The 27945-nt window shown below is 37.1% G+C and overlaps 1 protein-coding gene and 1 long non-coding RNA gene across 64 annotated transcripts in view, besides 2 other annotated features; one reads left to right on the forward strand and one right to left on the reverse strand.

Annotated features, from left to right (window-relative positions):
* Positions 130 to 813: an enhancer, noted in NCBI's record as "H3K27ac hESC enhancer chr2:144694058-144694741 (GRCh37/hg19 assembly coordinates)". NCBI's record gives its function as "activates a minimal SCP1, AML or CMV promoter by ChIP-STARR-seq in naive H9 embryonic stem cells {active_cell/tissue: H9 hESC(naive)}" and the evidence as "EXISTENCE:reporter gene assay evidence [ECO:0000049][PMID:30033119]".
* On the forward strand, positions 706 to 27795 carry QTMAN-AS1 (QTMAN antisense RNA 1). The gene is made up of 3 exons (NR_110237.1): positions 706 to 1275; positions 4653 to 4803; positions 27465 to 27795. It is a non-coding gene; the product is annotated as a QTMAN antisense RNA 1 (long non-coding RNA).
* Positions 1008 to 1207: a silencer, noted in NCBI's record as "silent region_11990". NCBI's record gives its function as "represses an Ori minimal core promoter by ATAC-STARR-seq in GM12878 lymphoblastoid cells {active_cell/tissue: GM12878}" and the evidence as "EXISTENCE:reporter gene assay evidence [ECO:0000049][PMID:35858748]".
* QTMAN (queuosine-tRNA mannosyltransferase) overlaps positions 1707 to 27945 on the reverse strand; it is a 395002-nt gene continuing 368763 nt past the window's right edge. For 40 of the 63 annotated variants that reach the window (NR_164801.2, NR_164808.2, NR_164807.2 and 37 more), the window contains 4 exons: positions 20834 to 20978; positions 16412 to 16482; positions 15621 to 15712; positions 1707 to 10774 (listed from right to left, as the gene is read on the reverse strand). Coding sequence is in view for 51 of the 63 variants with exons in the window: in NM_001376325.2 (NP_001363254.1) it covers positions 10691 to 10774; positions 15621 to 15712; positions 16412 to 16482; positions 20834 to 20978 (392 nt within the window). In the remaining 12 variants the exon portion in view is untranslated. The remainder of the gene's footprint in view (positions 10775 to 15620; positions 15713 to 16411; positions 16483 to 20833; positions 20979 to 27945) is intronic. The other 23 variants (NR_164799.2, NR_164802.2, NR_164803.2 and 20 more) reach the window with 5 other exon arrangements.

Raw genomic sequence — 27945 nt, forward strand, 5'->3', positions numbered from 1 at the left:
CAAAATACAAGCTTCAAAATAGGAATATCTTCACAAGTTTTCAAAAAGCTAATCAGAGCAAATGAGTGACAAATCAATGTAATGCTTCTAAATATTCTCCTGCCCCAATATTGCTTAACTCCTCTTCTCCACTCCTCCTAAATAACCAGTTGGTGGTGAGGAGGAGAAATGAGGTTTGTATTTCAATATACAGGTGTGAAGTGAAAAAGAAAGCGTCCGGGGGGTGAGATTTAAATCACATATCCGAACATACCAGAGACAGGAGTTATTCTAAACTGTGTAGATAAAATCCCTTTCGGAGAGTCCCCGTGCCCATCCCCACTCCCCTTCGCGGGATTGCTGAGGGCAAGTTATGTTTTTTGAAAAGGTAGTAGGCATCGGTGTTTCTGGTTTTGCTTAGTGCGTCTTCATCGTATTCCCTCGCTGAGGACTGAGCCTGGCCGACTCAGGGAACCGAGTTCAATGAAATCCTCAGACGCATAAAGCACAGGGTGCCGGCCCACCGAGCTGCGCTCCCTTCCCGGGGGTGCCCGAGAGAGAGCACGCGAGCCCGGCGCAGCCAAACCCGGGCAGGGGTGGGTCCCCACCGCGTGTGCGTGTGCCAGCCTGGGAGTGTCGGCGCGAGCGTGGCGGGTGCGTGCCGGTGTGTGTGCGTGACAGCGCGCGCGTGGCAGGGAGTTCGCGCGCCAGGGTGCGCGTGCCAGCGCGGGTGTGCGAGGGAGTGCGCGCGGGTGGGAGCGCCAGGGGCTGGCGGGGCCCGCGCCCTGGGACGAGCCCCTCGTGCTCCGGCTCTGCGCTCCCGCAGCGCCCACGCAGCCGAGAGGAGTGGGTGATGACTTCGTGACCTCAACGTCCTCCCCCGTCCCTCGACATGTTCCCGCGCCTGAAAGGTGCAGAAAACTCCCCCCACCGCTCTGGACGAGACTGAGCTAGGCGTCGAGGGCGGGCGCCGCCGCAGACCGGAGCTCGGGCTCGCTGGCCGCTCAGGCGCAGCGGTGTGGAGGGAACGGACGCGCGGCAAGGCGACCCGCTCTGGGCAACGCGGGCGCAGCTGCCCCGACGCAAGGCACTAGCTGGTCGGGGGCTCGGGCGAGCCGGGGCCGGCGTGCCGGGGCGTGCGCTCTCTCGGCAGGCGAGCGCCGGGCTCCGCGGAGGTCCCTGCGCCCACTGCCTGCTTCTCCGCCCGGCGACCCGGAGTCCCCAGGCTGCGGTGCGCCAGGCCAGACCTGACCGAGGGCGGAAGACCCGAGCGGCAGGGAGGCAGAAAGAAAAGAGGTAGCAAGCCCCAGACAAGGGATCCTTAATTACAGATAAAAGGCAAACAAAACCGTACACCACATTTTCCACGTGTCAGCTGACGGCCGCGACAAAAGGAAACAGAACGCTGGGGGGTGGGGGGGAGGCCCCTTCTTAGCTGCCCCCCACCCCTTGACAATGTGTGCAAATGTAAAATGCATTAGGTAGTAACTCTGGATAGGTGGTGCCCGGGGCCAAATTGCAGCTGCACGCTCCATCGTGTAGGACAGTTTGCTGATGCACCCAGAGGTCTGGGGAACCTCTTACAAAAAAGGGACTACAAATACTCCGCTTGAGCACATTTTGCTTCTTAAAACTTCATTACTCATACATTTTAAGTTAAAAATTTTGTGCTTAAAGTGTTGCAATTATCTTCAGTAAAATTCTAATACACACACACATACACACAATTTTGTTTTGCAGTTTTGTAGATTCCATTTTATTGGCCTGGTATCACAGCATTAGAAATACAAGGGGAAAAGCCAAGACGATGAAAGCCAGGGAACATAGCTGCAAGCACCAGAGAGCACAAGTTCCCCTCCATGGCTCTGCGGCTCAAATGGAAAAAGGAGAGATGTCTGCTTTGATTTCTTTCCTTTTAATTAATCAGGATCACAAAGCAATCTCCACCCTGTCCCTGGGATTTAAGATACTGGTTAAACTCCACCGTGTCCCGAATTCTCCACAGAAGGTGGAGGAGTGTTCAGAATCTGAAGTCCACCCGCGGACCATTAAAAACCTCTAGGTCTGTGCCCTCATTTTTAACACTCAAATTAAAGGATCACCCTGAGCCACCACGCAGTGCACTCTTCTCTATTTTCTCCCTCTTGTTGCTGGGCCGGTTTTGGAAATTAGAAGGGGTGGTCTCTTTGTTAGCAATCTGTTTACTTTCTTCTGATACAATGAAGCATCAGGTCGAAGGTGACAAGGCTTCTTTGCTTAGTCATTTTTACCCATCTCTTTGTAGATGATGTTTTTTTCCATTTTCAATTTTTTTTTTCATCAATGCCATCTCCCCAACAGCATTTCAAAAATAAAATTTCCAAGTCCTTTTTTTAAATGTGGTTCCAGTCAAATGATTTACCCACACCCCAAATAATATTATTTACATCCAGTATTAATAGCTGCATATCAGTAATTCTTAGAGATCTTCTGATCCATATTTAACAATTTAAATGATGGCTAACATTATTGCCAGGCAAATGCCTGAACCAATAGTTTGTGGACTAGTTGCCAGCCAGATGACAGCCAGGTATACACAGGGTAAGAACATAATTAAGTTTCTGCCCTAGTCTCTTCAATTGCAGAAGGCAGACAACACTCTTTCTCACCTTCCAGGGAAGTAGATTAGCAGATTAACAAAATGATGTAAATCACATAAGCTTTACATCCCCCTTCCCCTTCTAATACCTATTTAGGAACACTTTAAAATTTTTCCTTTAGGCATCTAGTCTTTCTGTGGTTTAGCCACATGCTCTCCCCTTTTTGGCTTTCTCCTTCTGTAAAATAAGTAAGGTGAAAGAGCAGATTAGGAGTTTTTCTTTTTCTTACAGCTTTCCTGTGTTTGAGTGGATCATCCTGTTGCCATCGTTTTAGTCCAGTTGTTGTTAATTCATGTTCTTACCACCCACCAAAGAATAGCACAGGATTAAGTTTATATTAATAAATGATGTTCATGAGTAGGTTTTTAAATGCCAGAGTTATGATTTATTTTTTTAAATGGGTGGAGAAAGGAGAGCGGCAATAACTAGCTCCCAAGTCATTCAAAATCCTGGCATCACACATCTATGTGGGTTTTTCTTTCTTTGTTTTGGTCTTTAAGTTTTTTGGACACACCTCTTATTTCCCTTTTAGTCCTATATCATGGAATAAATGCTTTTTTTGACTATCTTTGTCCATAGCTTGAAACCCTGTTTATTACAGTTAAATTTATAGAAAGTATTATATGGTCCTCTTTTCTTCTTCTTAAGAGCTTATAATTGTCCCTGTTTATCTCCCCACCCATTAAGAATTCTGTAATAAATCCCTGCACCAAATAAATTAAAATCTGCAACTTCAGACACCCGAGGAAGAGGACATTAATCCACTTAGTAAAATACTCAAGACCTCCCCCTCTCAATTTCAGCTCTTCTTAATGTAACATTCAGTAATTACAGCTGGCTCCTTATACTTCCCTCCCTCCCTTTTATTCTGAATTATATTGGCCTTGCTTAACCTTCATTTCCTTTTCTACCCCCCACATTTGTCCACATACTTTTCTTTGACCATGTTTGTCTCTTTCTCTTTCTTTCTGCTGTGTGGATTGAGGGCAACAAATGAAGCTTTCCAAGAGCTTAATACTTGCCCGTAAAATCCCATCCTACCTCCCCATTCCACTATTAACGTTTTGTACAATTTTTATGCATCCTTCAGTTGTGTAGTTACTGCTCTATATTTTTCTGATTGATCATTAAGTTATGCTGGCTTTTCAGAACTGTCTCCATAATCCTGAAGCAAAGCCTTTTTACTTGGCATGCTCTCTGCCTTTGGAATGCCTTTCCTGGCAAGGACAGACGCTTTGGTTTGACTACGATTCTTAAGTTACAATTCAAAGCTAATTTGTTCAGTTAGGTTTCTACTATGAGCAGCTCTGTTTCTCACCGTTAAGTGCTCCATGATGCTGCTTAGTTGAAGGGTGTGTTGTAAGTGCAAGATGTAATATACTTATATTGTACTTGATTATCAGTTTTCAAAAACAGCTGCATGCTTTGATATCTGTGTAAGGAAATATCGAAAGATAATATACCATTGGTATTTATTACTCTATAATTAAGGATGTGTCAGTGTTTCCCTTCCAAAAAAGCCCCTTATTTTCAGAAATTCATATCTCAGGCATAAATTTCCCTATGAATTACAGTCTAATACCATATTAGAAGTTTCTCCTTTTTAAGTTATCCCTCCCCTTCCTTTTCTTTCTGAGGAAGTAAGTCTCAGGATGTAATTTCTGGGTTATTGCTTTGGGATGAGGGGGAGCAGGCCCAGTGATGCACAGTTCAAGGTGCTGCCACATTGCCACCTGCTCCCTCTGCTCTTCTGCCCTGTGTGGGGAGACACTGGGGGCTGCCTTTCTGATGAAGGGTCAGCTTTATACACACATGGGTGAGCAGCTTTGCCACTGTATGATTCGAAAGGCAATAGAGAAGAGTCAGTTGTCCAGAAATATCACAAGTGCCACAGAGTCTGAACTTTTAGTACAGAAATCAATTCTTCCGCATTCCTCTCCTTATGGTCATTGAGAATACAAGCACTGGCTGGTGTAACATGAAATACACCTAGAGTAAGGTATTAGCAACTTATTAACACGTTTCTTCTTACAGTGAGAGGCAGAAGGAAGAAAGAGGAGAAAGAGAAGACAAATGTTTTTCCCTTCTTGAAGAGGTGGTCTTGACTACTGCTCAACCACAGCCTACTGAAAGAGCCCTGGAAAATCTGAGTTCTAGATCTGCCTGTACCACTGTGGGACCCAAGGCAAGTCAACTTCTCCTCAGGCCCCAGTTTCCTACATCTCAAATACAGGAGGTTACAAAAATAAGTGATTCTCAGGAGGGCCAGGGAAGTTACCTAAATGTATGAATTCAGCAGAGTGTAAGACCACAGGGAGTGGTGGGGGCCTGTGACAGATGGGGTATACTCACTGAATGCCTCCCTAAAGGGAGAACCAGAGCAATAATAAAAACACTTAAAATAATGGCCATATTCCGGGCATGGTGGCTTACACCTGTAATCCCAGCACTTTGGGAGGCCGAGACAGGTGGATCACGAGGTCAGGAGATTGAGACCACCCTGGCTAACATGGTGAAACCCCGTCTCTACTAAAAATACAAAAAAATTAGCCGGGCGTGGTGGTGGGCACCTGTAGTCCCAGCTACTCGGGAGGCTGAGGCAGGAGAATGGCGTGAACCCGGGAGGTGGAGCTTGCAGTGAGCCGAGATGGTGCCACTGCACTCCAGCCTGGGCGACAGAGCCAGACTCTCTCTCTCAAAAAAAAAAAAAAAAAAATTGGCCACACTACATAGTCTCTTATGTCCCTTTTAATGGCAGAAATGTGGGCCACAAAATAACCACCTCCACTGTCCTTTGCTGTCTCCTGCCAGCTGGAGAAATAGAAGGGAACTAGGGGTCCAACTGAGTCACGCATACTGCACTTGGTGCTTCCTGAAAGGCACATAGGTGACAATGATAACATCCCATGTAGGGAAAGGCTTATACAAAAAAACTTTGTTTCTGTAACACACTTCAGCTCCTAAATATGTCACTATATGTGCCTTAATTTTCTCATCTGTGAAATGATATTGAAGACATTAAATTTTCAGATCTAAAGGACTTCAAATTGCTTGAGAAAGGTCATACCAATATTCCTAGGGGTCACATCTTCTCGCACCCCACCTTAGACCTGCTATTTAAATGCAGTAAATGCAGTAATAGGAAAGTAATATAACCATTTAAAATTATCTTCCAAGAATCACCAATTCCTTCTGTCAGTTTATAAAAACAATTAAGATCCTCTCCTTGGGGTTGGGAGAGGATAAGGAATAACTCAGATAATGATAGATGATGGTGGGACACCTGAAGAAACCGATCGCAAATTCCAATTTAGAAAAATGGACTGCAGAGTGAGTGAGGATCCTGGTCCCTGAAGCCATTTGTGCCTCACATGCAGCAAGGGCATCCCACAGATACCCGGGAGAACTCTTCCCCTGGGATAGATTGCAGTGAAAGCACAAAGACCACGATTCGCTCCTGCGTCTTAAAGAGGAAAGGGGAGAGGCAACACTATGGGGAGTGGGCAGTGTGGTTGGGAGCTCTGAGAGCTCTTGTGCTCTAACAGGCAGCTCTGAATTTTTTGAGATGAGAAAGACTGGGCTCATTTAACATCTGCCTTCCTCTTCCTTTCCTTACCCTTCAGAAGGGAGTTTAGAGCTATAGTTTTCCATCTTGTGTTTGCAATGCCACAGGCATCTGTTAGAAATGGTGATTAGCAGCCCCAAGAAACAGGAACCTGTGGCCAGTTGAGTCTGACTTTCTCCACAGCATGAGGGTTGAGGTGAAGCCCCTGGCTCCTGTTAAGCAGAGGAAAGTCTTCTCAAGCAACATTGGCAGTAGAGTAGTTTGTATCACTGTCTGAGGCAAGCAGTTTTCTGACTCAATCAATAATTGAGAAAACCAAGAAATGTTAAGGATAGCCTGATAGCAAAACTAGTAACATGCTTCCTGAAGTATTTATATCTCCTATCAAAAGATATATGCAATAAATACACTGAAGACACATGAAATGTCACAAAGAGTGGCAAGAAGCCTTTGTGTATCACGACTCAGCTTAAGAAACAGACTTCTCATCATGCAACGAATGCACCTTTCCCTACTTCTATGTCCTTTTTTTTCTCTACCATGGCCCCTCTGACATAACCATTATTGTAAGTTTGGTTAATTCCCAGGTTTTCTGTAATACTGTACTTTAATCACACATGTCTGTATCTTTGAGCAGCATGTAGAATTGCTCGCATGTTTTTCAAACTTCCCCAGTTATATTTTAATGAATAGCTTTGAAGAGAGGGCATAGGATAGGAGCATTAGTTGTCTGTATCACAACTCAAATTTTAAAATGAAACATGTTCAAGTCAGTGGTTTATAATATACTCTCTTCATTGTTAAACATAAGATCTAATATTAAATAGTCCCAAATTTTCCACTGAAAAAGAAAGGCAGTTGGGTCAATAGTCAATAGAAGAATAAGACCCACAGTGTATGTCAGCATTAAAAGACAGCATGGACTATCATTTGAAAACTGATTCTATCATCCACAGAAAGTATCTTGAGACTTCAGTAAAATTTCTTTTGTGGCTCATAATATTTCTGGGTAGCAGATGCTTTCTCAAAAACAGATTTTACTTTTAAAAATATCAAATATAATTAACACCTTCAACATAAAATGAAATCTTTGCTTCCAGATGCATTTCAAGGTGTTGAAATTAATCTCTGCAGCCCTCTATGGCTAAGAGTTTCCATTGACTTATGGATTCTGCCTGCCATATTGATGTCTGAAGGACTGAGAACAGGAGCAGGGCATTTAAACTTAACTGTATTTGAAGGATGCTTATTAAACCAGGAGCATTTTTAAAAAGGTATTTGCATCTATTTCTGTCAACACAGTATAAATGAGAAGGTTAAGAACCAGGTGCCCTGATATTTGTTATAGAAACACCTAGCCAGAAGCATAGATTAAGTTTAGGGCAAGCTGTATTTCAAGACACTGTGTCAAAGTCTTGATAATGGATGGACTTTTAAAGACATTTAAAATTAAAATTGACTTTATTTTAAAAGAAAAAAACAATCGAGTGTTAAAAAAAAAGAGGAAGACTAAGTTTTCCATCAAACATACTCAAAACAATAAATGATGGGGGTGGTTGATAAGGGAAACTGAATTAATGAGTCAACGTGTAGTACTAATTATCTGCTGAGATTTCAACAAAATACTGATTAACTTATTTAATAACACTCCATTCCACTAGGTCGTGGGTGTTGAGAAGCATGAATGTGCGTGTGCACACACACACACACACACACACTCCTACATATTTTTAAATGTTAAGAATTACACATTTACAAAACTTTTTATTGCTTATGTGAACTAGTAGCAACTCTGACATTACAGTCTTTATAAGGTTTTTCTTTAAACTCCAAATCTCGGTATCATGCAAATAAGTGACACCTTTAATGTAATTTTTTTAAAATTTATTTTAAATTTATTTATTTATTTATTTTTTGAGACAGAGTCTCGCTCTGTCGCCCAGGCTGGAGTGCAGTGGCACGATCTCGGCTCACTGCAAGCTCCGCCTCCTGGGTTCACGCCATTCTCCTGCCTCAGCCTCCCCAGTAGCTGGGACTACAGGCACCCGCCACCATGCCTGGCTAATTTTTTTTGTATTTTTAGTAGAGATGGGGTTTCACCGTGTTAGCCAGGATGGTCTCGATCTCCTGACCTCATGATCCACCCGTCTCGGCCTCCCAAAGTGCTGGGATTACAGGCGTGCGCCACCGCACCCGGCCTAATGTAAGCTTTTGTCCTGGAAGGAATGTTGGCCACAGCTAATGGCAAAATTTGATTTGCATTTATGAGTGTAGAAAAAAATGCCCACATACAGGTAACTTTCAATATTATATTTGCCTAAATCAGGAAAATACGTAAATGTTTCAGATGTACTCTCTGAAAGGTGTTTAATGCTTTTTTTTTTTTTTTCCTATCAGTGAGAAAAGATCTATGGGTACTAGTTGTGTGTGGAGTATCTTAGCCACTATGAAGCGTAAGCCCATTTAGTTTCAGGATAGAAAAACACAGTAAACGAAGCGCTATTTCTTGGCTGTGAGATAATATTATTTTGAGAAGATGTCATCTGTGACACAGCAACTGACAGAAGCAAACTGACTCATCTGGTTTATCTCAGTAGATGGCATAAAGTATAACCTTGCCCAGGAGAAGTGGCAAAGAATTTCTTATTCATATTTATATCTTTAGTTTTGCTATCCAAAGGAACACACCTGCTAGATTCTGAGTTCCATAGTCTTAGACTGGAAGGAACTTCCAAAATAGTTCCTGAGCTCTTTGTTTTCTGGGTGACGAGGTAATTTGTTCACTGGCTTCCCTGTAAAAGTCTAGAAGCCAGTGCTGTGGTGGCCCATCACACACTGTGGGTCTCATGAAGGTTGGAGAGAGGAGTCTGTTCAGATGGAGCTTCTTGTTTCTGCTTCTTACTCTTCCTGCTTTTAAATTCCCAGGCCTCATAGACTCTGAACTGCTTGCTTCGATCTGCAATACTGCCTCTCTTCCAAGGGCTTTGTCTGGCTCCCTAACCTTGATCTATTTCGTGCTTTCGATTTTGCTACCGGTCAAATGGGCCCTACTGGACTTCCGAATCATTGCTTTCTTTATCTTAGATGCCTGCTAGGCCACTCGATCCTTCCAGAAGCTAGAAAGCCTGGCTTGCCCCTTGTCTAGCCACCTTTCCCAGGCTGTGCCTCACTTTGTGGTGTATAGAAGTTACTCATTTCAAAAGCTAGGGAAAGTTACAATTTACCTGTCAGTAAACAGAAGATGGTTTATCAACAGACTTTACCTTAATGACTACAAATGTTTACCTCCTGCTTTCCAGAATGCAAAGAAAATCTTGGAAATGTCATAATATCTTACAAACATTTGCAAAACAGATCCTTGTTCATCCGGAAAAGAAACAATTGTATTTGTTGTCTCTGTCACAAGGAAAACGTTCAGTGAGAAACACATAGGTAGATGTATACATCTATATGTAAATGAATATGCTAATTAAAAATTGCAGTGGGTACTTTATTAAGAATTTATTTTACCATCTAGCCATTCAAAACATCTTTACATCAACAAACACAGCAGTTTGACTATTGAAATCATAAGCGATTTATCTTGAAAAGGTTATATTTGTAGGTGGATGCAAGTATATTGGAGAAATATTTCTATCAAAATCACTGGTTTTGTTAGGAGTATTTTGATTTTTCTATTTTTACGCTGGGAAAAAAATTAAAACAAGTATGTCAGTGTTCATTTTATGGGATAGTTGGCTTCACTGTGTTTGTCATGTTTGTCCGAATTACAGCTGTTTATCTTGCAACTTTAAGATTAATTAAATGCAAATGTAACTCTGTGAATCATGGGAATACCTGCCAGACCTCTTATTAATACCTTCACTTAAAACCCCCTGTGCCTGAGAGTCATTAATTTGCTAAAAGAAAAGTGCTAAAGCAGCCCTTTGCCCACAAACAATTCTGCGATGGCTGCCCAATTAATCCCAAAGCATTCTGATCCTCCTTTCAGGCCTCGTGGCCCTTTGAGGACACAAGAAGGCTCCGATGATAACCTGGCAACCTAGGTAGAAACCCAGCCAAGTGTGAGCGTTTGAAGCTGCAGTTTGGCTGCCATCGTGTCGGCGAAAAGAAAGAATTCAGGCACCATGTCATCCAGTACAAAGGATAAAAACGGATTCAACCGGAAATTCAATGTGGCACCACATATGGGATACATGAGTGCGGTTATACAACAGGCCACATATTTTTTTTGAACAGTCTCCTACATGTGATGCCGAGGACATGTGTAACCATCATAACGTCTCTAGGAATCTGTATTTAATTTGAGTTGGGGTGGTGGCAGGGATTGGAGATCTGAAGCCGCCACAGGTTTGTGGCAGATGGCTCTGTGTCAGCTATGACAAGCAGCCAGGCTCAGCTTCCTCTGCAGATTTTCTTTTCTCTCTGATCAGGTAAATATGGGCACACTCTGGAAAGTTCTTCAGATTCTGCCTTAGGCTGCAAGTTTGTGACTTAGCCCCATCTGTCACAAATCTTCCCTAGGTTCTGTTGTAAGCAGAGACCTGAATTTACCATGTAGGGCTGCCCAAGAAAACGGAGCGATTTCACCCTGCAACGAGGAGGAGGGAGAGAAGAGAAAGAAGTGAAGAGCATTAATGACTAAAAGATGAAAGTATGCTGAAAATTTATATTGCAAATTTGCATCACTTACGTCAATTACATTTCAAAAAGCCACCAAGTAAATGGTTCTTGAGTTTCATCACCTCAGGAAATCTCAGTTTCTGATTGGTCTAAAGTGTCGTTGTATTTCCAACCAGAGAAGAAGGCTACTGTTTTCTGCAAATGGGTATATTCTGCTGCACACATATTTCTTGGTTTATGTTATGAATGACAACCATTCATAGTTGGATGATGAAAGTTCATCATCCAACTTTTAACTTATATAAACACAAGACACGTAACACTGTACATACAAGTTTCTGCCGTGAATTTTACTTTTAAATGATGAAGACACAAAGATAAATGCCATTACTATTATGTGAAATTTAAAAAGTGCTTCATATTTATAACAGGTTTATATTCATTATTTCATTATACCAGTACTTCAGGGGTACATTGATATTTAAAAAAATATTCTTCCAGGTTTACAGATGAATCACATAGAGGCCAAGAAGATCACCTAGAATCAGGTTGCAAATGAGTAGCAGAGAAGGACAAAACCTCTAACTGATCTTAATCAGCCAAAGCATATCTGTGATGCTAAAAGGTTTTTTCCTTTTATTTTATTTAGACAAATCAGAGGAAAGCCAGACCAAATAAAATTGCAGGAGGAGGTGAAGAAGGAAGGAAGGAAGGAAGAGAGGGAAGAAGAAAGGGAAGGGAGGGAAAGGCAGAGGAGGGAGAGAGAGAAAGAGTGAGAGACTGAGACTGAGACTGAGAATTTGCCTTAATTGTGCTGGTGCAGTTGAGAGCTTTTAGAAGTTCTTAGAACATCACAAACATTTCATGTTTAAGGAAAAAGTAAGGACTCTGGAGCAGTATTAAAACTAGTGAGCAACACCTTATTCAAATCTAGAGTTTAAGCTCAAATTAAAAGGGGACTATAAGGTGACCAGTTTCTTGAAGGAAACAAAGTAGCTTGTCTGTGGTTCAGGTACATATAGCTTGACATAATCAAGATAACCACAAATGGCTTTTCTGGGCAATGAGTGTGAATTGTAAGCTTAATTATTGTTTGGAATTAGTTTCCGGCAGAACTCTAAAATTCTTCTCCCTTCCAAATAATAGAAGATTATAAAAGTTTTGTCAATGTTGAAGAACTTGAAGAGGAAAACAAAAAAATCAGGAGCTATCACCTGAAAAATCTTAAGAAACTACAAGTCACTCTCAAAAAGCAAGAATGGCATCTCTCTCTCTTTTTAAACCAGAGAATACCATTCAATTTATAAATAAAACTAAATGAAAAATAGGATGGGAATGAAAATCTCTTCTGTCAGTCTGGATAATGTCTACCTTACACAACTGCCCTATTTGTACTCTTATATTCATTTCTATACTGGTAATGAGGGAATAGCTATAAAATGTCTTTCAACAGCATTTAAAAATATAATGATCAGGGTTCTCTAAAAGCATGAAATACTAATCTCAAATAATTGTTGAGAATTTTCCATAAGTAAATTCACATAATATAATAAAAGTGAGGCCAAAAAAATACAACTTCACAGTATTAGACTTGCTTGGGTTAGAAAGGAAGAACTATTGTTAGTTTAAGGAGTCAATCCTTAGCTGATTCTTTTATGATTACTTCTAGAAACTTGTGTTCAAGTTAGGCTTAGGAGTCATCGAAGAGCTCCCTGTTTTATCTCTGTGAGAAGTATGTGTCCAGTGCATCTGCCTGACCTGAAAAAGTACATGTCTCGACAATACAAGTTTATAGTCAATGACTCAACTGTAGACATAAACTTTGTAAGAAGTGATTTTATATTTCCTTAAATTAAGAAAAATGGTTTTAGGTTTTTTAAAATTATTAAGAAACATTTAATTTTTGCATGTATTGGATTTCTCTAACAATCCTAAGCCAAGTGTACGTGTGTGTGTGTGTGTGTATAAGAGAGAAAGAGACTGAGCGAGTACACACATACATGCAAATGAGGAATTTAAACATTTCAGGTCTGAAACTATTTCAGGTGGGAAGTCATGGACACAAGTGTTCTGCGATAGAAGGAGTCACTTTAAGAAAAAAAGTAAATTCTGTTTCTGCTTTTCACTTACTAGCATTCTGTTTCAAATCCTGCTTCAAGTTATACCCCAAACTCTCACTCATATTGAAAGTATAATGTCTGATGTGAGAAGAAAGCCAAGTGTTAGTAGCCTTATTCTAGTCATTAAATTTCTAAGTGTGAATCCATATGAAAAATCCTATCCTAAAGTGAACTCTATATGATAAGAAGTTGAAATGATTTTAAAATGTAAACTTTTAACAACAAAAAAAGAGTAAGGTGTAAAAATGTAAAAGGAACAAATTAAAGAATTCAGTGACATTCTATCCTTTTAGATCTTAGAAGCATATGTTTTATAAAAGCAAAACAGCACTGTCCAATGAAATAAATCTAAAAATAACTCCCAACATTCTTTTCACAGTACTCACAAAAGATCCTCTCCGACTGCATAAGAAAAGTAGGTAAAAGCTAAAATGCTAATTCTCTAGTATTTAGTAAAAGCAAATGTTACCTGAAAATGTGTCTATTTATAAAACACAAGATAAAAAATTACAATAACTTGTTGTATCATTATTATAAAGGTTTAGAAGGCATTTTTTTTTCTGTTTTAGCTTTAAATCCTATAACAACACACAAACTAAATCTGTGGTCCTTCCTGTGCTTTTAACTCTATACCTTGCAACATGCCAGTTTTTCCTAATAATTGTATCATAAAGCTCTTGATTACTTAAAATTTGACTAATTTATTAATTTTTGAAATTAATTTTTAGACAATATCACTAAGCACTATGGATGAAGGCAAATGTGAAAATGTGTTACAGATTTATAAGAGAAAAATCCATGGTAGACGATGCTTAAAAATGAATTATATAAATAAGCTCTTATAAATGCTTTTGCATGAATTACTAATTTATAAAACTTTGAGATGCAGGTTTTTATGGTGTATGAACTAAAATATATTTAAGTACTAACATGTAACAGCTCAATGAAATAACATTTAAGATATAGGTTATCATTTAAACTGTGTGAGGAACAATTTGGTATATTAACAACATACCACTAAGCTGCCATTCTTTTTTTCAGAAGCTGTTTGTAAAATAAATAATTATAGCTATGTTATGGCAGTAGCTGAATGAAAATATTTCAACTGGACATCTGCTTTCTTTTCTTACTAGAGGCAACTTTTTGCAGTGACTTTTGAAATGGTTAAAAATTTGCAGAGGTTTAAAATTTGCAGATGCAGAATAACAGGGTTAAGCAATGTTACAAACTGATAAATTTTGATGGTGGAAACACATTTACAAATACTTTACCAAAAATTCATCCAAAGAGGGAAAAAATCAATAATCTGACAGAGAACTCACTGAAAATAGCTTTGTGTCATATATAAAAAATTAATTCATTTGTACTAATACTTATATTTCCTCAATTTTCATTATCTGCATATTTTGACAGTCTATCACATGGGAAACTATTTGATTGATATTTCATACAAACAAAACTACTACTGAACTTTAAAAATTAGGAAATATTGAGGTAAATCTTGAACGACTGTTTTCTCTGTGGAGCTTCCCATGTATACAATACAATACTATTGACTCAAGGAGTAATACTGAAGCTGGAACTGTTCAGTCAGCATTTTAAACTATTATGAGCTACCTTCTGAACCATTGCCAAGTTAATAGACAATGAAAGATAATGAGCTTGAAATTGGGTGTTAAATTGCATTTTTGGTTCTCTCTCTTTTTCTTGAAGTTTAACTGTTTCCTGTAGAAACAAAGTCATGTTTTGATGTATCACTATGTAAATATGTATTTTAGGCTACGAACAGGGAAGGGAGAAAAAAAAAGGCAGAGAACTGTATTTCATGTAGAAGGTTATATATTAACATAGGAAAATTAAAATATGTTAGATTATAAAACTGCTAGATGTAAACTATACTGGAGTTATGTAAAATGAAGATGCTACATTCGAAGAATATAAAAAGGTATATTACTTATGGCCTAGAGCCACCTTCAAAACTCATAAAGCAGATTTATCCTAGTTCAATTACTTAGACTTTTAGTAGGGCCTCTTTGTGTTGTTATTTCAACAATGTAAAATTCTTGATTCAAATAAAGAAAAGAAGATAACGAATGAGGGTAGTGAATGATGATGCTGTTTACACTATTTTCCCTTTGCCATTCAGAGATGAGACTGACATTCTTATTCTAAAGAAACTGAGGATTTTTTATGTCATTTTTATTAAACTGGACGCGAGAAATATTCAATTCTTAAAAATCACCTTTCAAGTAGTTCAAAAATGAACACCAAACTTCACTAATGTCATTCACCTGAATTTTTGAGGACTAAAGATTTCATTATGATGGGAAGAAAGGCTTATCCTCATTAGTATAATTGTAGAATCTTTCCTTTACTTCCTTTTAAACTAATGAGTTACATTAATTCAGGTTCATTTTTATAAGCCTCTAGGGGCTAAATGTAAAGGACAGTCATCTTAGAAAACAGTAAATTTTAAAAAAGCATGTACTGTGCATTAAGTGCACGTATTTCATAAGACCTAGGTTAATACAACTGGCATCCAGTTTAATTAATCCTTGTTAGTGTAACAACTAATATCCCTCCCTAGCATGTTTCCTTTAAACATTAGTATGTTAATTAAATGTTTTTTTTTAAGATTTTTCTTTGTACTTCAATATGGCATTTATACCATGTAAATCTCTTCTCAATAACTACCTTATAGAGATGTTTTCTTATAATATCTGGTCTCTTGCAGAAATTCTGGAGCCTTTTTGAAAGCTGTTCAGGTGTAGAATACAGATATTCAGCTGCAGGAAAAACAGATACATTTTTAATGAAACAAAAACCTCAAAGCACACACTCGATATTAGTCACTTTACTAATTAAAAATGCATATTGCTCTGTGCCGCCTCGTGTTTTACATTATTTAAGCATGATTTTATAAGGTTACCTCAGCTCACAAGGATGTTTAATGCTAAATAAGACTGTGTAGTTGTGCTGTTTAGACATCTCCTTTGGGTGATTAAAATACATTATTCTAATGTAACACAATGCATATGTGATATACTTAGTGATGAGATTTTTTTCAAAGAACTGGTACTATAGCCTTATGTACCCGTACAACAGTTGCATATTATTAACTAGTCAATTGTTTAAATAATTTGGTGTGACTTTCAGTCCCTGATTTTTCTGTGTGTATCATTAAAAAAAATCTGTAAGCAATTGCAGCAACACTGACCTGCTTATAAAAATCCATCATTATGGGATGTGTATGCTAACAATGAAGAATGTTATTTGAAAACTTGCTTTTTTGTTATCTTAAAAGAACAGATGGTAAATATAAGCTTACTCTAATGTATTAAAACACATAAAATTTTCCTTAACACTAACATGTTGACTTGCCAAATAAACAATTGCTCCTGCCTAAGTTTATTTTCAAACTTTCTAATTTAGCATGAATCATATATTAAATCTCAATAAAGATGAATGTACATTAAAGCAGCTACCTGGAAATATTTCGGGATAAACCAAATCTTTAGGACAAAGTGGGTAACACCCACAGTACACAGCTTCCAACCTAGAAAAATTTTAGAAAGAGGGTAAGAATATATTAAAAAGACATTACCATCATAGCCAGAAAGTGGTTTTGTTTGCCTAAGTTAACTGAATGAGCCCAGAGTTAACTGGGACAAAAAACATGGTCGGCAGTATAATTCTAAAAGCCAAAGTTGCTCTTTTAAAAGATTTTATTGATCATATATGAATTTCATAGAACAGAACCAACAGCATATGTTTTGTTCACTGAATTAATCAAAGCGCAGCTCTGCATTTTTTTTTGTTTTTAAAATACTGTTTAACACATTTTATAATCAGCAGATAAACACATGTAACAACATGGTAAAGTATGGACAGCTTTTCTTAATAATGCTGCAAAGCCTCAGAATGTTCATTTTTCAAAAATGTTTAAATAAAATAGCAAATACTTAACTTTAGCACTGTCGCTGTAGAAAAGATTGAGGAACTTTTAAAAGCATCAGAAAAAAATTTACAATCTGTTGTAATGGGGCATTTTCATTTTAAGCTCATGCTTCAAAACAATTTGTTATTATGCAGAATGTAAAACTCTTCCCCCTTTTGTTGAAAAACTCTCATGAAGATTACTTTAATGAACATTTTGCTTTCTTGACTAAAAATTCAGCTCACTTTCCATTTTATCAGCAAAGAATGCTTGTATTATTAAACAAACAAACATGAAAGTTTCACTTTGTGAGAGGATTTCCCCATTGACCCACCTATGGGAAGTTTTTCTTTACGTCACAGTAGAAGGGTTAAGCAGAAGGAAGGTATTGCATCTTCCTTCTGTGTTAGCCCTGCATAATAGCTATTGATCTGACATATAATCAACTTTAAAGATACCACTGTCATTTCTGTTGGCTAGAAATTATGCAGTGAAATTCAAAACACTCTTTAAAATATGTTTATTTTATGAGAAACTTTGAATTGCATCCAAAATGTTGACCAAAGGGGAAATTTATTTTGAACTGCAGATTTTTTTCAACCCAAGAGTACTCTGAAGTCATGTCAGTGTTTACCTTGTTTATTTACAGTGACGAAGTACATGAAACTTAAGCTGTTTTTAAGTGGCTGATGTTTTCCCTATTTTCCTATGTTAAGTGAAATTAAATGAAAAGTATTTACTTTGAGCTGCAAATTTTGGAAAAATACTTAGTTCAAAGTTTTGCTTGAGAACTGATAGAAGTTACAAAATAATCTAGTGGGAAGGCACAGGTTCTGGTTACCAATTATTAATTTCAGAATGCAAACTAATACCTCATATTTTTTGATACATAGGGTACACACAGAAATTCTTATTATAAGCACAGCTATAAACTACACTGTGACTGTATTATAAAACACTTACAAAAGTTCTGAGTTTATAAACCAGTGATACTCTTTATGGACCAAAAGAAAATATGCACTTTATCTAAAGACATTCAGTTTTTAAATGCTGTGCCAATCGAAAAGCAAATACATATGAACATTCTCTTATAATTACATAAAATCAAAAGAGTGAAGTCATAGGCATTTCAGAGAGTGCACATGTTATCTGCTTTTTAATAATGGATTTGAATTAGAGTATTCTGTTCCCCGAAAGAAAATTGCAGGCCAAGTTACATTTTGAGTCATCGTATGAATATGTACCATGCCGTTTCCAAAAAACCTCTGCTAATTAAAATACAGTAAGATAGAAATGGCATTATTTGATTTAGGAAGAAAAAATTTACAAATTTTGGATTTCAACTTCTATTTGTAAATTATGTTAGTCATGGTTATATTTCTAATTCATCAAGGAAAAAACCACCATCTCTTTTGGTTCTATTTTTGACTTGTTATGATATACATTACTTAGATGAGGACTATGTTTTAAAATATATTAAATAGGCCATAGTATTTTAAAACCAATTTATAAAATTCATTTCCATAAGTTTCTCATTTTATTTTTTTTAAATTATCTCATGACAATAATACAATTATTCATCACTTCAATTCTTAGGCACTACCAGTTAAATAACAGAGTTCCAACTGATCTATTGTTAAAAAGACTAGTAAATGACCTTTTTATTCCAATTAACAAATCATCTGCCAAATCTATGAATCTTAATATTCAGATCTATTCACTTCAATTCATACAATTTATCTGCAAATAGTTGTTGGGCTTTTGATTCTAAATATAATTAGCTGATAATTTTGCTTGGCTGAATTACTTTTCTGGAGGGCCTGCAAAGGCTCTCAGTCGCATTATCTAGCAATAATGAATCTGATAGGTGAAATTTTTTACTGTAATGAGGATGAGACACAGTTGTGACACCTGAGTCTACTAATAACAGAAGACTGCTAATTATCGACAGCACTTTTTTGTGTGATGCAAGGAGAAAAAAAATCCCTCATTATTAAAAAATAAAAAGTTACAATTATAAGTGACACCGGAGGAGAGTAAATAAAATGGAGTGATTAAAACATTGCTGCTTTAAGGGTGTTTTTAATTAAGTGGAAATGCTAATGTTGTCATACTTAGCAGATGGGATTAAAATTAGTTATTGTAAGTAACTCATATTTTATGTTATGGTTTCCACAGCATGTCTACAAGATCTAAGAAAGTGATACATTCCATAAGACATTTTAAAAATGAAATTCTCATACTCTTTACAACTCATAATAATGAACATCATGAATAAACTATTGAAAAAAATCCTGCCAAGGATTTTACCATAGTGACTTAACTAGCAAGGAATGTAACCATAATGTACTGGACTGTTACAATCTCACTGATGGTATGCCTTTTGCTTTGCTGATTGTTGCATTCCCTATTTCAATCACACTCAACAAAAACAAAAGTTTGGTACTTGGGCATTTAGCCAACATCAAATGTGGTGTCAAGAAGGTAGGGCCTGGATACAAGAAAAGATCATGACCACCCACTAAGGTGATGTTCTAAACTAAAACAGAGGATGCATCACATAACTGCAGATAAAAACCTAATTGCACACTTTCTCCTACTTTATTTGTGTAAAATTTTCCATCTGCTACATCTAAAGATGTCTAAACTGTTAGTATCAAACCTGCATTCAGCTGCCAGCTGTGCACATTAAGGATTGCAAAACACTAAGTAAATGAGCCAGCGTGAAGCCGAGTGGTAGTGGTCCATCTGCCCAGGGCTGTGGGGAGGGACCCTGGTACCTGGTCCTTTTCAGAGCCTGTGTTTGCTTCAGTGGATAAGAAAGAAAATTAGCCACATTTCTAAGTGTCTCCATTTACAATACCCAATTTATCTGCATTTTCCTGGATAACTTCTGTGTATCTGATGAGTATTCTTCTAGAGCAAGTTAATGGAATTCATCTCTTTTTGAAAGTTCTTTGGATACATTTTAATAAGGCCTCTTTAGAAATTATCTTGAATAGTTTGGCTGACAAGATTCTAACAATTTTTGGTGATATTCTGAAGGAGATTTTAAAGTAATCCTTTGTGAAATTTATTTCTAAAGGGTATAGAGTAAGTCAAATGGCTTTGACTCAATGATGCATGCTTTAAAGTCAGAAGACAAAGACTTAGAGGTGTTCTGCTTTCTCTCAAACATATACAGAAACACTTAGATATATCTGTATATGTATATTATATGCTATATATATATTACACATATACACATATTTGCTAGGAAAATGGAGGCCTATTTTTAATATATATGTGCTTGTTTTATGTCAATCTATTTAAAATTATTAGAAATGATTCAATTTTTGTCAGATTCAGTAAGGAAAAAGACCATTATGTTATTATGCTTTACATTCAGAAATTTTTTAGCAGCTACTCCCATCCACCTGAAGTCCATTAGACAGTGCTCATTTTATTCATTTATCTGGGGCCTTGCTATTCCTCATGTCCTCCTCCATGATGATAGGGAGGACATGATCGACTGTTCATGTGCACAAGACATTAACATCCATCATGCATTAATTTAATCATTTTTTTTTCCCAAAACCATATTAGATTCAGGATTTTGTCTTGATTGGCAGGTAATATATATGGGAGTTATAAGAATCCACACAGTATGTTCCAAGGGAGGAGGTTCTAATAAAAATTATGAATTCATTCACATCTCCACAACAGAAAGTTTAATTCAGGCTCTTGAGAAGACATCTGAAAGGCTGGCCCTTATGCCTTTATACGATTGTATGTGGGGGGAAAAATGAAACAAGTTCTTTGGATTACCTTAACAATCACCAAAAAGTATAGTACAGACAAAATAGGTGATAGTCAATTGAATTCCTTTTGATCACTGAATTTTAATGTATTATTTGAAATAACAGCGAACACACATAGTAAAACTGATTAGAGATTGCTTTATCACATATCACAAACAGAAAGAACTTACATTGCCACTCCAAAGAATTCATGCTTAGCTGTTGAGATGACAACATCAGCCATGCACAGTACTTGGAAATAGTCATCTTTGCTGGGTAAGTAGCCCCAGTGTAAGACAGAAGATCCCAATGCCTTTTTGGCCTCTGAAAAAATATCTTTTAAAAACAAGAAAAAGATATTCATCTATTTAATATAGTGTAAAATGATATGAGATGTCAGCAGTGTCTCATCTGAAGTTCAGGTTAATTAGCTGCTGCTTATTTTAACGAACTTCTTGGAGTTGTTTGCTTTTATAATCAAGGCACAGAAGCAGAACCAAATGTTAAGGTGCCAAAAAAAGCTGACAAAAGCAAAGGCCCGCCTCGCCACCCTCCCCCTAAATGAAAAGCCAACTGTCTGCTTCATAAAACTCGCTTAGCAGACACTGAAACAAAATGGACTGTAAAGTTCGTTAGATGAAAATATTAAAAAAGAATTAAGCTAATGGAGATAAAATTAAAAGAAATGAGGCAACAAACACATCACACCAAAAATGGCATTGCAGTGACAGCTAAGATTCCTAATGACGGACTGCATTCGGAAAAATTAAATGGCATTCCGTGCTTAAATTTCTTTGGAAAGTAATGATCCATGAATGATGCTCACTCCAGGCACTTAGAAGGAGTGAAAAAAGCAAAGTGTTCTGAAATAACAAAGAAATATGTGTCGCTGAGTGAAGGGAGGTTTAGACAATGCCACGGGAGGTCTTCTGAAAGAAGAGAGAGAAAGCCCCTCACTGTCAAAATGATACCTGCTCATCAGCCCTTTGAATGAAAATAAATGCACCAGTAATGTAATTTCACTTAAGCAAATCTTAATATTCCTTCTTAATCTAATTTTCAAGGATAAGGTGAAATTCCTACCCAAGGGCAAAGTTCAAATATTTAGAAGATAGTATTTTGGGCAGACTACTATTTAGAGTTCCTTTTGGGGGCTCTAATTGGCTTAGTTCAAAGGAAATCTGAAATAAATATTTCATGTGTCATCTATAATTTCCACTTTCTAAGTAATGTAGACATAACTATCAACGGGGATTTATTTTTTCATATCCTGAAAATGAGAGTTTAGGCAATAAATCCAAGAAAAGCTAACAAGCCTAGAAGAAATAAAGGCAAGCAGCAGTTAAGAAGAGCTTGGTCCTGGTTAATTTTAGAAATTGTAAAATACAAAGTTTTCAAGATATGAAAACATGAAATTACAACTAGGAAGGAAGGTGTATGCATGCGTGTAAAACCATAGAGAAAGACACTCATTTTTGTGAGACTCACCAGTCGACAAGGTCTTGGGTAAGATAATTCAACCTAAATTGAGTGCAGTCATCTATAGTGTAAAAGCAGCAATTATGGGGGAAATGTAATTACCAGATAAATTCCCCCCTTAAATAGTTGCTAGAACCTAAAGAGTACTGTCACTTTCAGTAAATGCCCCTTTAACCTTCTTTGTGCTATGGTTGAGCCCTCTCATCCTACAGGAGTGTGGACATTCTTCCATACACAGAACTTTTATGACAAAAACATTTTATAGAGAGAGAGTTTGGGTGATTTTTATTTCTTTCTTTCTTTTTTTTTTTTTTTTTTTTTACGTTTCCACCTGACTCAAAGGTGACTGTATCTTGAATCTATTCAACACTTAAATCTTGCTGACTCACTTTATAATCAATGGGATAAAGTTAAATACCAATTCTTAAATCAGGTCTGTCTGGGCAACACCTTATCATCAATTGTGCAGTGGAAAGAGGCTATGAGAATAACAAAGCCAAGGGAAATCTTTTTTCCCCTTTAAGTAGTAGTTTCCTCATCTAAATCCAACATTTAGGGTTAATATCCCTTTACTAGTTTAATCAATCAATAAGCAATTATCGAACACCAACTATGTCCTTAGTATCTAGCTAGACACTAAACGTTCTATTTTTCTAGAATCAATGTAACTTTTAAGATATGATAAAATGAACTGTAAAGCATTATTTTCTGTTATATTTTTCAGTTAATGAAGTTCATAAAATGAACATCAAGAAACTTAACTCATCAGTTGGTACAACTTTCATTCTCAACACCATCAGTCTGACATTTTTTATAAGCACTGAACACAGTTAAAATGTACTGTGGAAAAAAAAAACACTTGCTAAATTACAAGGAGCTTTGTGGGAAGAAAGATAATAAAACCAAATCAGAATTCCTGATTTTAGTTTATTGCTAAGAATTTTCACTGAGTAAAATGGTACAGTTTGATTTGGCATTCTTATAAAGTGGAGATAATATCTGATCCTGGAGGAATGTCACAGAGTTAAAGGAAATGTATATGAAGCACCTAGCACAATGTGTGGAACATACTCAGCATTCAATAAACAGCAATTTTATGGTATGTCAAATACATTAATCTCAGGAGTTTTGTCATTACAGTGATAATTATCGTACAGCTAAATATCTTCATCTTCTTACTTTAAAAATACATAAAAATGAACTGCATTTGCTTTTTCAGATCATGTAAAATTAAAACCAAAGCAGCAATACTTTGAGGTTATAAAATATTTTTTTGGTAAAGTTAAAATCTAAATAAATATATCAAAATGGATATATTTTATATATTCACAAATCAGTAATATTTCTATAATGATTTTGGAAAAAGCCGAGTCAATTTAATTAAATGTGTACAACAGTATACCTACTTTGTGCAGTGTGCTATATTATGGTGTTTTTTACAATTGTGGCTAATGGTTGTGAAATCAATTTAGAGCAGCATAAAAAGAAATTAAATCAGAAAAAGAAAACATCAGAGTGCGTCAAATGTAGTAAGAATATGTATTATAAAAGCCTTGTTTCAATTATAAATATGTCTACATTAATAGGTATACTGAGCCACAATGTAAATATATATCTTGATGTGGATCATGGTCAAAAGTTTGAAAACACAGCTGTACTAGGATCTTTGGGTCATATCAGGTTGTGTCAGATACAACTGCCATTATTCTCAAGAGCCTTCTATTATTGAAGTATGTATGATAAGTACACTGCAAAATGCCAACAAAATCTCATGGACATTCAAAGAGAGGAGGTAGTACATGTGTTTGAGAGGCCTGGGAAAGTGGGTGAGATGACTCTTGGAAGATGGGTTGAGCTTTGACAAATAAAGGAGGAGGGAGGGGCACTGGATGGTGAGATATGAGCCATCTTCAGGGAACACTGACTAATCTAGGCTACAGTCCAGGATATAATGTTCAAGGATTGAAGTAAGGCTAGGAAGGTAGCTGAAACCATATCAGGAAAGTCAGAACAATGAGGCTGTACTTAATGTGATAAGATCAGAAGAGAAGGTGAGATACATGGGCTCATCTTTAGGAGTGTTTTTAGTCAGCCTCACAAAGACCTAAAGATAAACTCAACAAGAAAGAATAAAAGCTCCCATAGGATACTTGAAGGTGAAGAACGAGTGAGAGGCAATGACAGGATAAAAAACACACACCAGGGTAGCTGGAATAATTGCTGTTGGCAGCACAGGTAGACATCAGAACGGTGAGGAATAAAAAGTGTTTTCAATATACCTTTTTAACAAATCTGCACATGTAACCCCCTGAACCTATGATAAAAGTGAAAAAAAAAATACAGGTAGAAAACAAAGTGTATTGAAAAAGTATAATTATTATGCTTACGGGTTTCATAATACACATTTCAGAAAGCGTCACTAAGTAAAATCCCCTTGCGGGTGGGAATTTTAAGTCTGCATTTTAAAAGCTGAGAAATCTCCAAGGTCCCTTCTAGTTCTATCTTCTTTGGAATGACTTTATTTTACAGATGAGTAAAGTAAGGCTGAAAGAGGTGACATGGCTAATCAATGGCAGAGCTGGAACTAGACCCTGAGCCTTATAAATTCCAGGACAGTGTTCATTTCATGGCAGCATATATCTGATGGTTTCCATTTCACAAATGTAACAATTTAGCCAAGGAGAGATATAGCTGGAAAAACTCACTAGTTGGATCCAGATATTCATACTCATTCCCTGTTGTGCTGCTTTCTGTCAGAGACTCCTGTTCTGATAGGCATTGCAGGAAACAGGAATATTAAAACAAGCAGGCCTTCCCCCATAGTCTTTTACTGGGGAAATATTATTTTGACCATACCACACTCCAAATCATGACCATATACAACTATAGGAACTGAAAACCAAGTATAGCAACTACATCCTAAGAGCTCCCATCAACCCTAAATCTCATATGCCTTTACAGGCTTTCAAAATTAAGGTCTGTTTCCAATTTCCTATTTGTCTAGTAATGTCGATCTTTTCCATTAATTAATTTATTTTCCTGTGTCTTTCCCAAGTACACATTTCTCAAACTTTGAGGACAGCTTATGAAAATGACAGAGCATTTTCCCTCAGTGATGTTTTCATATTTATAATTTTTGAGAACAATTTCTTGAGAGATGTTTTGGGAGCTGTATTCCAGAACTCATTATCTTCATGGTCTTCCCTGGTAGGATGGATAAATGATCTTGCCTTAAGAGTGGCAATGGATCTTCTGGTTTCAGTAGAAAAGATTATTCTACTTACAGAAGCTGCAGGAGTAGACTTTAAGCCCAGGGACTGGCATGCCTGGGAGTGATCCTAGAAAAAAATGGATTCTCACAGGACACATTGAGGAATGAGAGTGAGTTGTTACCAGTTACTTGCAGCTGGTGAATGTTCTGAGCATTTGGGAGGGAAGGGTATCAGCCCAGTTAATAAGCCTTTCCTGAGAAAGGAAAAGATAGCTTCACAGGTACTGAATGGGAACCTCATCCTTGTTAGGGTATCAATAAAAGCTGGGCCAGGATAGCACTCCCACCAGGAGTGCTGCAGACTCCTCTTCTGTGGGGCTGTTTCAAAAGTTCTACTCTTCACCTACAAAGTGCCTTCCAGTCAGTTATACCATGGCCCTATTATGGCAGCCAAGTGATAAGTGATATATATATCACTATGGTGCAGTGTGATACATGCTTTGCAACTGATGGAATGAGTATAGATGCCATGAAACAATAGGAAGGAAAGAGAAGAGGAAGGTATAGAGTTGGGATTTTGCCAGGTGGAGAAAGGGTTTGACTGTGTCTACATGGGGAGGAAGAAAGGAATTTAAGCAACAAATAACACAAGACATAGAGGTGGGTAAGGGCACAGCTGTATTCAGGAAATGGCAAAGATAACTGGAATTCATGAGGAACTAGCCTAGGGTGAGATTTTGAAGAACCTCCCCCGCTATAAAGGAAATTAAGTTCATCCTGCAGAAAATCTGACACAAACACTTATTATTGTTATACTATTATGATTATCTTCTTGGATGTTCTAGGTTTAGAAAGAACACTGATAATAGCAAGTGGATGAACTCAGTGTCAAGGTATCCAGAGTCTGGGAGACTAATCTGAAGCCTTTGTAGGAGTCAAGGGCCCAGAAGAAAAGGGCAAGAACTGGAAAAGAGCCAACAGAATCAGAAGGAGGCATGGGATCAAGAAAGAATAGGATCTTAGTTACCTGTTCACTATGGGACAGTAGAGAAGAGAAAGAGGCAAGAACAACTTTTGTCATTTGTTTTTTTCCTTCTTGGAATTATTTCCATGGGATACATTTCCTGTGAAATGTCTGAGTTAAACAAAGGGTAGAGTAATATAGTTCAGGAAAAATAATGTGCATCACCATCACCATACATGCAGATGTTGCCCCACAAGTGGGCTAGTCTTAGTTACAAGTCTTTACTTTTATTGTTTTGTTCAATGCAACTGCTCGGTCATAATTTTTTTTGTATTTATATGTACTTCATTACTGGTAAAATTAGAGAGTTTTCCCCCCTAAAATTTGATTTAGTATTTATTTCTTCTGATATTATCACCTCTTTTGTTTATTAGCTGTGTGACCTCAGGCAAGTTATTTAACTAAAGCCTTAGTGTCCTCACCTATACATAGGGGAAAGTAATTATACTTATTAAGGGGATTGTTGTCATACAAAATGAGATATCAGAGTAAAAGCCTAGCCCTGGCTTGGTGCAGAGTAAGAATTCAGTAGATTACTGTACTTATAATAATGTGTTGATGCTATTGCAAACCTTTACTTATAAATGTATAATTTGTTGTTTTATCATATAAACATTTATTTTATTCAATTAACTGATTTCACTAAGAAAAAATACTCTGTTTTTGAGCTGGGATAAGTGTATTAGTAAATTGTGTTATCATAAGTTTGTGGGCTCTTAAATGTATATACAAGTTGTATTTCTGCTTCTCCATTTCTGCCTAGTTTTTTTTTTTTACTTTCATATTTTAAATCTCTATGGTACTCTTTGAAAAGTTCTCACTTCATACATGTTCTGAATTTGGTAGGACATGTTTTCCTTCATGATTCCTTTGCTAGTTTGCCCTTTCATTTACTTATTTTGTTCAGATTTTAGAACCACTTTGTGAGGATATGTAAAGTAATATTCTGGCACCCTAATTGGAGTCTTGTTAAATTCATAAATTATCTTAAGAGATACCATCATTTCTATTTAGCATGTATTCTTTTTCTGTCAGGAGCTTATATGCCTACCTTTAATTGAATCTTCCTTACTTTTCCCATTATGTTTTGTTGTTTTCTTTATTTCAGCAAAGGACTGGGAGACAGAAGCCTTCAGTTTGAATTTCAGATTCTTGAAGACTAACTTTCTCAATCATATTCTCGGGAAAGTAACTATGTGTTCATTTCTAAGAATCATGTGAAGATGGCTCTGTCTACTGAGAATCGACTTCAAATGCATGCTACTAAAATGGAGCTAATATGCGTCATTTCCTCAGCTATAATTTGGGGAGGTTAATACTTGTTAAATCACTAGACTGCTATAAGGTTTGCCCATAAACATTGTAAATAATGTATTCAAAATTATTAAAATGTTACAATATAAACAAGAATGTGATATAATAAAATGTAATTATATAAACATTTTTGTTTTCTAATGAGCCAGTAAGATTCCAGAGGGGAGGAACCATGTCTTCATCTCTTGGTATCCACAATACTTTACATGGTGCTAGACCATAACAGGAACTCAGTAAGTAATTATATGTTAGGGAATGAATAATGATAAAAAAAT

The sequence above is a fragment of the Homo sapiens genome, chromosome 2 (assembly GCF_000001405.40).
Source record: "Homo sapiens chromosome 2, GRCh38.p14 Primary Assembly".
Taxonomy (NCBI): domain Eukaryota; kingdom Metazoa; phylum Chordata; class Mammalia; order Primates; family Hominidae; genus Homo; species Homo sapiens.